The sequence below is a fragment of the Homo sapiens genome, chromosome 15, assembly GCF_000001405.40.
Source record: "Homo sapiens chromosome 15, GRCh38.p14 Primary Assembly".
Classification (NCBI taxonomy): domain Eukaryota; kingdom Metazoa; phylum Chordata; class Mammalia; order Primates; family Hominidae; genus Homo; species Homo sapiens.
Window position 1 is genome coordinate 93,255,803 of NC_000015.10, and position 12,017 is coordinate 93,267,819.

At 47.2% G+C, this 12,017-nt stretch overlaps 1 long non-coding RNA gene across 1 annotated transcript in view; it reads left to right on the plus strand.

Annotated features, from left to right (window-relative positions):
- The window catches only part of LOC105370982 (uncharacterized), a 171,228-nt gene that overhangs the window by 43,340 nt on the left and 115,871 nt on the right, over positions 1 to 12,017 (plus strand). Inside the window, exon 5 of the long non-coding RNA XR_007064770.1 lies at positions 3,371 to 3,435. This is a non-coding gene — a long non-coding RNA (uncharacterized LOC105370982). The remainder of the gene's footprint in view (positions 1 to 3,370; positions 3,436 to 12,017) is intronic.

Consider the following 12,017-nt stretch of genomic DNA (forward strand, 5'->3'; position numbering starts at 1 on the left):
CTCCCCACTTACCCTGTAAGGGTTTTGCTTCCTCACTCCCTCCTGGCAACTGCTGCCACCCCCATCTTCAGGGGCCCTGGATCAGGATGCCAGCCTGGCAGGCATGCCCCATGCACAGAGCCATGAGGCAGGCCCTGGGCAACTATGAGGGACTGCACCTGCCACACAGGTGAATCCCATGCCCGAGGGGGCACACCATTAAATAGCAAATAAAAATACCATGACAGCTTGAGAGAGAGACTGTAGAGAAAGGAAGAACTCTTTCCCTGCTTTTTTTTTGAACAAAGGGTTTTGCATTTTCATTTCGCATCAAACTCTGCAAGTAATGTAGTTGGCTCTGCATATGGCCAGGATTTTTTTTTTTTTTTTTTTTTTTTTTGAGACAGAGTCTCACTCTTCCCCAGGCTGGAGTGCAGTGGCATGATCTCAGCTCACTGCAACTTCTGCCTCCCCAGTTCAAGCGATTCTCCCGCCTCAGCCTCCCGAGTAGCTGGGATTACAGGCAAGTGCCACCACGCCCAGCTAATTTTTGTACTTTTAGTAAAGATGGGGCCAGGTGAGTCTCAAACTCCTGACCTCTGGTGATCTACCCACCTCAGCCTCCCAAAGTGCTGGGATTACAGGCATGAGCCACTGCGCCTGGCAGGGCCAGAACAGCCCTCATGGGCCATGCTCTGTTTTCTCCCTCTGTACCTGATTGCTCTGTTGTCCAAGGACTGCATGGCCCACTGCTACATGAAAGAGGCCAAATGACAGTTTCTTCTGGTAGGAAAAGTCATGGATTTGAATTGGTTTTTTAAAGTCCCTGAACCTGGCTGTGCTTGGTCAGTGCAGGTGGAACTTGGGCCTCTCCGCGTGCTAGACTCTAGGATCTTCAGGAGGGAATTGCTTCGTTATGCCAGCTAGTCTCACATCAGACTCTGGTTTGGGGGATTAGAGGTTCATTCTTTTGTAAAGAGAACAGTGCTTGAGACCCTGTGGCCCTGAATCAGGCAGACCTGGGTTCAAATCCCAGCTCTGCCACTTCTTTTATTTTTCTTTTATTTTTTATTTTTGAGACGGAGTCTCGCTCTGTCGCCCAGGTTGGAGTGCAGTGGCGCGATCTTGGCTCACTGCAAGCTCCGCCTCCCAGGTTCACGCCATTCTCCTGCCTCAGCCTCCTGAGTAGCTGGGACTACAGGCGCCCACCACCACGCCCGGCTAATTTTTTTGTATTTTTAGTAGAGACGGGGTTTCACTGTGTTAGCCAGGATGGTTTCGATCTCCTGACCTCGTGACCCGCCCGCCTTGGCCTCCCAATGTGCTGGGATTACAGGAGTGAGCCACCGCGCCCAGCCCCAGCTCTGCTACTTCTTAACCATGTAGTATGGGACAGATCTCTTAACTCAAGACTCGGTTCTTAAATGCTGTAAAATGAATCTCCTTCGTGGGGGGTGTAGTGAGACTACGAACAGCTAGAGAACTGCTGCTTAGGCCTGGATACTTGACTTGTGGTTTGTAGCCCAGCAGCATCAGCATCACTTGAGAATTTATTAGAAGTGCAAATTCTTAGGACTTAGCCCAGATTTTCTGAACCAGAATCATTTAACAAGATTCCCATATGATTTGTGTGCACATTAATGTCTGAAAAGCGCTATTCTCAGGGATCTTCCAGAAGAATGAATTTCAATGTTGGAGTCCATCATATAGATCCATATTTAAAGACTTCTGGAGACAAAGGAATTCTCAGGTGTCCTACCTTAGCTTAAGGTTGGCAAACTCCTATTTATCCTTCAAAACCTTTCTCAGTATTTTCCCCTTGGTTATACCTTGCCTGATTGTTGAGATAGTCAATCATCATTCTCTTCTCCTCACTACTTCATCACATACAAACATCTAATAACTGCATGTATCACATTGCCTGATGAACGCCTTGTACAGGTGAGTCTCATCTCATAGGCTGTGAATTTCTGTGAATAGCAGCCCAGCAGTGAGGATGATGATGATGGCAATAGCTGAGATGAAATACGTCAGCTCACCTACGGGGTGTGACAACAGGACTTGAGAGCAGAGTTGGCTTGTGGTCACCCCGGACCCCCATGTACCCAGATCTGCTTGGCACAATGAGGTCTTCAGAAAAGTTTGTTGAGCTGAATTGATAGACAAATGTCTCCCTCCTCCTTGATTCTCTCACATCCATGTAGGAGAAGTGTAGGGAAGGTGTTGACATGCTTTATTTTTTCTCAGAAGCTCATGTCTGGGTCCCAGCTTAGCTGAATATTTCTTCATTTGCTGAGAGGAACATTCCTCCCCCACTGGCTTTGAAGTATTTCTGAGGGGCGGCTGCCAAGTTTCATCACCTCCCCTGGCAATCTGAGGACCTTCCTCATCATGTTCTCATGTGCAATGCATCCTGTCCACTGTCTTCCCCACTTTTCCTTTCTAGAAAACCAGATGGTAGTCTGGGCTGCTCACCCCATCAAGAAAGCCATGTATGGCCAGGCGTGGTGGCTCACGCCTATAATCCCAGCACTTTGGGAGGCCGAGGTGGGCAGATCAACCTGAGGTCAGGAATTCGAGACCAGCCTGGCCAACATGGTGAAACCCTGTCTCTACTAAAAATACAAAAATTAGCCGGGCATGGTGGCGGGTGCCTGTAATCCCAGCTACTTAGGGGCCTGAGGCAGGAGAATTGCTTGAACCTGGGAGGCGGAGTGGGGAGCTGAGATCACCCCATTGCACTCCAGCCTGGGCAACAAAGTGAGACTCCGTCTCAAAAAAAAAAAAAGATGTCAGACACAGACCCTCCTCCTCTAGAAAACTGGACGCATGCGAAGCAGGGATCTCAGAGTCGAGCTGCATCCGAATCCCCTGGAGAGCTTGTAACACACAGATTCCAAGGGCCTCACTCTGCTCCGGGAGTCTCTAATTCAGTATGTCTGGGGTGGGGCTCCCAGGTGCTGCTGCTGGCCCAGGACCCACTTAGAGAACCACTAGTGTAAACTATCCCAAGACAATGATAAGTGAGTTCGTCTGGCTTAGAGGAGAGGTGTAACTCAGGAGGGAGAAACCGGGCCTGCCTGAGAGGTCAACTGAAGAAGCTCCACGCGGGGAGGGATGCCTCAGTGGAGGCTTCTAACCTGACCAGAAATTCACGGGAGGACAGGGATGAAGGGGTTTTTGGCAGAGAGAACAGCTACGCCGTGGCTCAGAGGCAGAAAACCACGTGGCTGTTGTTTTGCATTTAGATCTAGCTGTCTAAGAGAGGAAACCAAATAAATGATTTAAATGAAGGCTAACTTCTCTTTCGTAGAGAAGTCTAAAAGCAAGCAATTCAGGGCTGCTATAGAAGCATTTTTTTTTTCTCTCTCGCTCTGCTTTTCCATTCTAGGCATATGACTTCTATCCTCAAAGTCACAAGATGGCTGCTGGAGTTCCAGTCAGGATGTCTGTACAGTAAGTGTGATTTGGAGACAAGCATTCATGCTCATGGTTTCACTTTATCCATGGTTTCACTTTCCACAACTTCTAGTTAACCTGCAGTCAACTGCAGTCCAAAAATATTAAATGGAAAATTCCAGAAATAAACAATTCATAAGTTTTAAATGGTGCACTCTTCTGAGTGGCACGATGAAATCTCATGCCATCCCGCTCCATCCCAATGCTGTATACACTGTCTGTTAGTCACTTAGTGGTCTTGGTTATCGGATCAACTAATGTGGTATTGTGCTTGTGGTATAATTCTTAAAAGTGCAAGAGTAGTGATAGTGACATATTGTTATAATTGTTCTATTTTTTATTAGTTATTGTTAATTTCTTACTGTGCCTAATTTATGAATTAAACTTTTTTTTTTTTTCCCCAGACGGAGTCTTGCTCTGTCACCCAGACTGGAGTGCAATGGCACGATCTTGGCTCACTGTAAGCTCTGCCTCCCGGGTTCACACCATTCTCCTGCCTCAGCCTCCCAAGTAGCAGGGACTACAGGCAACCGCCACCACGCCTGGCTAATTGTTTGTATTTTTAGTAGAGACGGGGTTTCACTGTGTTAGCCAGGATGGTCTTGATCTCCTGACCTCGTGATCCGCCCGTTTTGGCCTCCCAAAGTGCTAGGATTACAGGTGTTAGCCACTGTGCCTGGCCAGGAATTAAACTTAAACAAACAAAAACCAACAACAATGGAGTCTTGCTCTGTTGCCCAGGCTGGAGTGTAGCGATGCAATCTCAGCTCACTGCAATCTCTGCCTCCTGGGTTCAAGCGATTCTCCTGCCTCAGCCTCCCAAGTAGCTAGGATTACAGGCGCGCGCCACCATGCCCAGCTAATGTTTATATTTTTAGTAGAGATGGGGTTTCACCATGTTGACCAGGCTGGTCTTGAACTCCTGACCTCAGATGATCCACCCACCTCGGCCTCCCAAAGTTCCGGGATTAGAGGCGAGAGCCACTGTGCCCAGCCTTGAAATTAAACTATCATAGGTGTCTAGGTATAGGAAAAAAAAATGTATATATAGGGTTCAGTTCTGTCCTCAGTTTCAGGCATCCATTGGGGGTCTTGGAACACAACTCCCCCTTGAATAAGGGGTCTATAGTATTTCAGGCAGAGTGAAGGGGAAGGGCAAGGGGTAATGGCTCTTTCTTCCAGCTGAATCAGTTCCCTTGAAAAAGACTTCGCAGAAACCTCACCCTGGGACTTTTGTCTAGATTCAAGAGAGGCAGCAAAATGCAGTCTTTTATCTGAGCACGTTGCAGCCCTGAATAGAGCCCGAAGTCTGTTAATTAAGGAAGAAGCAGGGAGTGGATATTGGGTAGACCGTTTTGGTGTGTTTGGAGGAACGTCAAGTTCTTAGTCTTGCCAGAGCCTGAGGTGCCAGAGGGCACGCGGTAGGGGGAACGCGGTGCAGCACCCAGCCACTCAGGAAAGGGGAGGCACGGCCAAGACGGGGGCAGGATGGAAAGTCCATGGATGCCGCAGGGTTTAGACCCAGCCTTAAGTGTGAATCCATCCCTGGAGTTGGAGTGTCAGGGTATCTCTTTTCTCTTTTGGCTCCTTTCCTTCTTCCTTCGGTTTTTTTTTTCCTCCCTTCTTCTCCCCTTTATTCTTCTCCTTCCTTCCCATTCCACTTCTCTCCTTGCAGGAGCTGCAGGATTTGGTTTCCAGTCTGAGATGAATTGGAAGGTGGGGAGGAGCCCTGTCCTTAGATAAGGAGGGCCTCGAGGGCATGCTAGGGAGTGCTGGGGGAAGTTTCCATCAGTAGGAAAAGCCTGGGAGCCAGGCTAGAGATAGCCACTCAGAAGAGGTAGGGAAGAAAGAGACAACATTGGTTCTGGGCAGTAAAGTAACACGATAAATGCAGACTTAAGAAAAATGAGTCTATTGGAGGCCGGGCGCAGTGGCTCAAGCCTGTAATCCCAGAACTTTGGAAGGCCAAGGCGGGCGGATCACAAGGTCAAGAGATCGAGACCATCCCGGCTAACATGGTGAAACCCCGTCTCTACTAAAAATACAAAAAATTAGCCAGGCATGGTGACGGGCACCTGTTGTCCCAGCTACTCGGGAGGCTGAGGCAGGAGAATTCCTTGAATTCGGGAGGCGGAGGTTGCAGTGAGCGGAGATCGCGCCACTGCACTCCAGCCTGGTGACAGAGTGAGACTCTTTCTCAAAAAAAAAAAAAAAAAACAATGAGACTATTGGGAATGATGCCTTCTCTAAACTGCATTTACATTTTACACTCTTGGCTCAGGAGGAAGAAACCTTCATATGAAATCTGCTATTGCATCTTTAGTGAATGATGCCGCTGAGGACTTTGCTCCTAGTGTCTTTCATTGTCCTCCACATGAAATCCTGTAGGAGTCCTTTCTTAATGTAGGAACTTGGGAAGAGCTGCTTTCCTTCAAGAGTTTGTAGTTTTCTTCTTCTTCATTAATGAAATTTACACAATCCATCTGACTTCCTTTGTGCCATGGCTCCCAGGAAACACTGGGGCAAATGGTTGGACTACTGTGGTTCTCTTTTCTTTGGTTCTCATTTTCTATTTCTATTGGTGTTTTAATTGCCTCATTGGATGTATTTTTGTGTGTGAAATATGACAGGAAACACAGGTATGTTAACTAGGCTGGAAGAGATTAATGTGTGGCACAGTTGCGGGGTGCAGGGGAGTCCTGGCAGGGTGGAGAGTTAGCAATTGTTGTGGCCCAGGTGGGAGGCGATGTGGTCATGCTGGGAGGGAAGTTTAGATGTGTCCAAGAGAAGTTGCAGAGAGCCCGCAGCATGATATCTGACCATGTCAGTTTCACAAGGGGGACAGCTGCAGGTGGCTGACACATCCAGACACGTGTACACCAACTGGGGAGGAAATTGGCTAGATGGTTTTCATTTGGGTTTTATTCTATTCCTTGGTGTTGAACACCTTGGGCTTTCCTGAAAGACATACTTTGGCAATATTTCCTGTCTCAACTCAGGACTAGGGTTGGGGATCAAAGGCACCCATGCTACTCTGTTTTCTAAAGTCTTTTGATTTCTGCCACTGGTTTTATCTACCTACGACTACATTCTTCAAAAACAGACCTACTTGCATTGTAAACTAATCTAAAAATTGCTGTGATGGGCAGATATTGGTCATGGTGTCACCCTTCAGGTGACATATTGACCTATTAAGAGGGCTTGGTGGGGGCAATGTTTTGGTTGTAAAAAGTGAGATTTTGATACCATTCAAGTGCTCTGTCATGGTGATGGATATATGTAAAAGAAGGGTTTTGGTTGTATGTAAGTTTCATGGCCCCAGGACTCTCTCGCCTTGTGCCCACACTGTGACTGATTAACTCCCCATGGCCAACCCCAGCCCATCTCTCCTGCCTGACTCCATCCTCCACCGATCTGCTCATTAACGAACCAAACAATCAATCAGCCATGCAATCGCTTCAGTGCACCTCTGTTTCAACTTTTCGATTTCAAGCTCAATTGTCAGTGAGAAAAAAATAAAAAGAAAATATAATTTTATGCCTGTATGACTCAGATATTTAGTTGCTTCTAGTTCTGGGCTGTTTCCATTCTTATTCTGCCCATTCATTTATTCTTTCATTCCTCCTTATAATCATTCATTTATATACGTTTATTCAACACAACTTGATTGAGCATCTCCTAGGTGCCACACTCGGGTGCTGATGTCAGAGAAAATAACTCATTTCTGTTTTCATGAGGCTCCCATTCTAGCCTAGAGTTTCTCAACAGACAGAGCTGTTAGCATTTTTGTGCAAAAATTATTTGTGGCCTGGGATGGTCCATACATTACAGGGTATTTAGTACCACTGGTTCCACCCTCTAAATGCCAACAGCATTCCCTCTTTCCATTGCAACAACAACAAAAAATGCCCCCACGCATTTCTAAACTCAGTGGCAAGCCTGTTGTTTAGATAAAGTGTGGTGGATTCTGTGCATCGGTTCTTCCCATTTTCTTCCCCCCAGTTACTAAGGCTGGAAACCTACAAACTATGTTTCCCTTTCATCCAGGGTGTATTAGTTTGCTTGGATGCCATAACATGATACCACAGACTGGATGGCTTAAACAACAGATAGTTATTGTCTCACAGTTCTGGAGGCTGGAAGTCGAAGATCCAAGTGTTGGCAGGGTTGATTTCTCCTGAGGGCTCTCTCCTTGGCTCGCAGATGGCCTCCTCCTCCTCCTCCTCCCTGTGTCTTTACGTGGTTTTTCCTCTTTGTATATGTGCATTCCCAGCATCTTTTCCTCTTCTTATAAGGACACCAGTCATATTGGCTCCCTCCGCCCCTTATGAGCTCATTTAACCCAAATTACTCCCTTAAATGTCCTGTCTCCAAATACAGTCTTATTAGGGGTTAGGACTATCATAGAGATCTGAATTTAGGAAAAACACAATTCAGTCCATAACAAATGGTGAGGCATGTGACTTAGCTTGGCCTAGCACGTGCCTCTGCTGGAGATCCAGATGCAGAAGTGAGCAAGGTGAGGTGCTGATTTTATGCAGGTGTTCTGACAAGCATGGTGGCAGGGGTAACTGGTTTCTAGGGCTGCTGTGGGTTTTCAGCATCCAGCCCGGTATCATAGGTTCCAGTGGTGGGTGGCAGAAGCCATCAGTGTTCCCTGTAGCAGGTCTGTGGTGTGATTGGGCATTTCTCCTGGCTCTGTTATTCCTGCTTGCATCACATCTGATCTCATTCTCTGTTTCTCCTGACGATTGCATGCACTATTCACTACCGTTTAATAAAACCATCTTTTTGCTTAAATTAGCTAGCGTGGATTCTGTTGTCTGCAACCAAGAACTCTGATACAGAAAGAAGATCCCCAAATATTTCATTGCATTTTAATGTGGTAAATTCTGGGTAGAGTTGTGCATAGGATTTCGTGGAACCTCAGAAAAGAATAACCCATAGTCATTTGCCTTTGTCTCCTAACTCTTGGCACTGCCTACCACCTCTAGAGTGTTGCTGCTTGTTCTGTTCAAAAGCTTCTTTGCTAGATGGGTCTAGTAATCCATTTATCTAACAATGACTCTGTAATTTAGTAACTAGTAACTAATCAGCTAATCAACTAGTAACTCCCTTTATTTGTACCTGAGAGGCTGATCCCATTATTGCGGGTGGAGTTTTAGGACAATGGGTATCCAGTCTTAGCTCTGTGTCCCTCTAGCTGTCTTATCTCCAGCCAGTCACTTCTGCTCCATCGGCCACATCTTCTTCTGGTAAAATAAGAATCAAGCAGTCCCAGAGGCCCCTCTCAGCATTGCCATGCCACACAGCATAGTGGTTCTTCAGTGGAAACCAAAACATGTTTATTTGCTTGTGTGAACTCCTGCAGAATGTGCCAAATGGCAGGGATGGATGTGAAGTCGCTGTTTTAGAAACAGGTGTCTGGAGACTGCTCTATCTTCATGGCAAGGGAGGATGGTGGGAGGAGAAGCTACAACCAAAAAGCCTTTTCCAAAATGTGTTTATCAGTGTGCCAACCCCACAGGATTCTTCTGCAGAGGCGATTCCATGGTGTACCCGCTTTGGGAAATGCTGCATACTCTATTGCTTTCTGGACATTCACAGTGAACTTAGCAGGTTGAAGGCTTAGAGGAGGCTTCCAGGAAGGAAACCTGTTTATTAAACCTCTTCTCAAATGTATTTGACCACTCGACCCTTTGTTTTCCACATAACATCTACTAACATTCTTGGTAACACCACTTTTGGGGAAATACTGAACTAAATTAGTCTCAAAGTCTTCCAAAGTAAGCACAGACCTTGAAAGGTCCCATTTGGGATGGTGAGTCCTGCCTACAGCTTCCCTGACTTCTGACTAACCCAGGGAGCTCTCAGAGTTCTCAGCAGCAGGAGGCAAGACCAAAAATCCCTATGAGTGGAAGCCACATGGAATTGTTGCTGATATCAGTGGTGAGTCACAGGGGTCCACACTGGGGACATGAGTATTAGACATGAGTCATGGGCATATGGAAGCCTTGTTCAGCTCTACCTTCCTTTGGTCCCTAATCCTTTGTAATGCCCTGGTTTCATGATGTAACTTCAAGGGAATTAAGCTTGGAAAGCAAAAATGATGTAATTAATTTAATGCGGCTTCAATTAAAGCCTTCCGCTAGCATGACATCTGACCATGTCAGTTTCACAGCGGGGACGGCAGCAGGTGGCTAGGCGCGTCCAGACATGTGGGTATGCCAAGTCGGGAGGAAATGGGCTAGATGGCTTTCACTTGGGTTTTATTCCAGTCCTTGGTGTTGAACACTCAGGGCTTCCCTGAATGACACACTTTGTCAACATTTCCTGGCTCAGCTATTAACTGAGGACCAGGATGGAGACATTAGGCAAACAGACTAGGCCGTTTTCTTGTCTTCTGAATCCCACCAGTGGTTCTTTGGTTCTACCTAGAGCTACTGTCTTCAAAAAGAAACCTCCTTTTATTCATTAAAAACTGATCCAAAAAATGGTTTTCATGGGCAGTTATGGGTGGGTCATTGTGTCATATTTTGTTATGAGTGCCAGATAAACTTATCAAGAGGGCTTGGTGAAGGCAATGGTTTGACCAAAAGGAGTGACAAAAATAGTGGGGATTTGCCCTCTGTTATTGGGAGGTGACACCAGTGTGGCTTTAAACTTGTTTGTAAAAATAAGCTCTTTCTAGGCCAGGCACGGTGGCTCATGCCTGTAATCCCAGCACTTCGGAAGGCTAAGGTGGGAGGATTGGTTGAGCCCAGGAGTTTGAGACCAGCCTGGGCAACACAGGGAGACCCCGTCTCTACATAAAATAAAAAAGTTAGCTGGGTATAGTGGTGCGTGCCTGTAGTCCCAGCTAGTTGAGAGGCTGAGGTGGGAGGATCCCTTGAGCCCAGGACTTCAAAGATGCAGTGAGCTATGATTATGCCACTGTACTATAGCCTGGGCAACAGAGTGAAACCCTATCTCTAAAATACATAAATAAGCTATCTCTGGGACTTCTGGAGTCTTGTCTCTTTTCTTCTCCAATCTACAGTTAAAGAAACTTCTGGAATAGGTGAGCATCTCCTTATTCCATGACATCCCCGAGACGCTGCTGACACTTTCTCTCTGCCCCACTGCATCCCCTTCCTCACCTGCTTTGCCATCCACTCCTGGGCCCCAGACTTCCTGCTGCCGGCGCTACGGCTGCTCCCGGCCCTGTTTCCAGGAGGAAAGCTTGACGGCTTCGGCCAGGCCAGGGAGCACAGGGCCTGCGCCAGCTCTGCTGAGGCTCACGTTAAGGGGAGGTTGCCCCTGCTCCCGGCTTGTCCCTGTTGCCTGTGGCTAACACAGCCTAACTTTCTGCTCCCGGCTTGTCCCTGTTGCCTGTGGCTAACACAGCCTAACTTTCAACCGCAAGTCGCAGCGCAGGGCCCTGGGGAGCAGCCTGGTCTTCTCTCCTGCTGGCTGAGAGGGTTTTCAGGTCATGCCAAGGGGTTAGTGGGGCATTCTTTCCTAGATGTTTCTGCTTCTCATTCCCACCCTTCAGCATTCATCACTGGAGCCTTTTGTTTTGTTTTGTTTTGACACAGTCTCGCTCCGTTGCCGAGGCTGGAGTGCAATGGCTCAATATCAGTCATTGCAACCTCCACCTCCTGGGTTCAAGCGATTCTCCTGCCTCAGCCTCCCAAGTAGCTGGGACTACAGGAATGCATCACCACATCCGGCTAATTTTTTTTTGGTATTTTTAGTAGAAATGGGGTTTCACCTTGTTGGCCAGGCTGGCCTCGAAATCCTGACCTCAGATGATGCACCCGCCTCGGCCTCCCAAAGTGCTAGGATTACAGGCTTGAGCCACCGCGCCCGGCCCACAGGAAGCTTTTTGCTCCTTCTTTCATAACTCACAGGAGCTGTTTTTGGGCTCACTAGATAGAGATGATATTAGCTGTGGATCATTGCTAACATGTATTGGGCCGGGTGGCCTGGGCTGGGAAGTTTCTGACAGGCATGGCCTCGTTTTCTCCTCACTTCAGCTTTCTGAGGGAGAAGCCATTATCATCTCCAGTTTAAAGACGAGATAATTGAGACTTCAAGAGTATCTTAGGCCAAGCTCAGTGGCTCACGCCTGTAATCCCAGCTACTTGGGAGGCTGAGATAGGAGAATTGCTTGAACCTGGGAGTGGAGGTTGCAGTGAGCTGAGATTGTGCCACTGCGTTCCAGCTTGGGTGACAGAGTGAGACTCCATTTCAAAAAAAAAAAAAAAAAAAAGAGTGTCTTAGTTCTCGCTGCTACAACAAGATCCTATAGACTGGTAGCTTATAAGCAACGGGAATCTATTTCTCACAGTTGTGGAGGCTGGGAAGTCCGAGAACAAGCATATTTAGTGTCTGGTGAAGGTCACTTTCTGGTTCATAGATGGTGCCTTCTCACTGTGTCCTCACATGGTAGAGGGAACAAGGCAGCTCTCTCTTGTTTCTTTTCTTGGTAGGTCATTAGCCCCATTCATGAGGGATCCACCCTGTGATATTATCACCCCCCAAAGGCCCTATCTCCTAACACCATCACTTTGGGGGTTAAGGTTTCAACATATAAA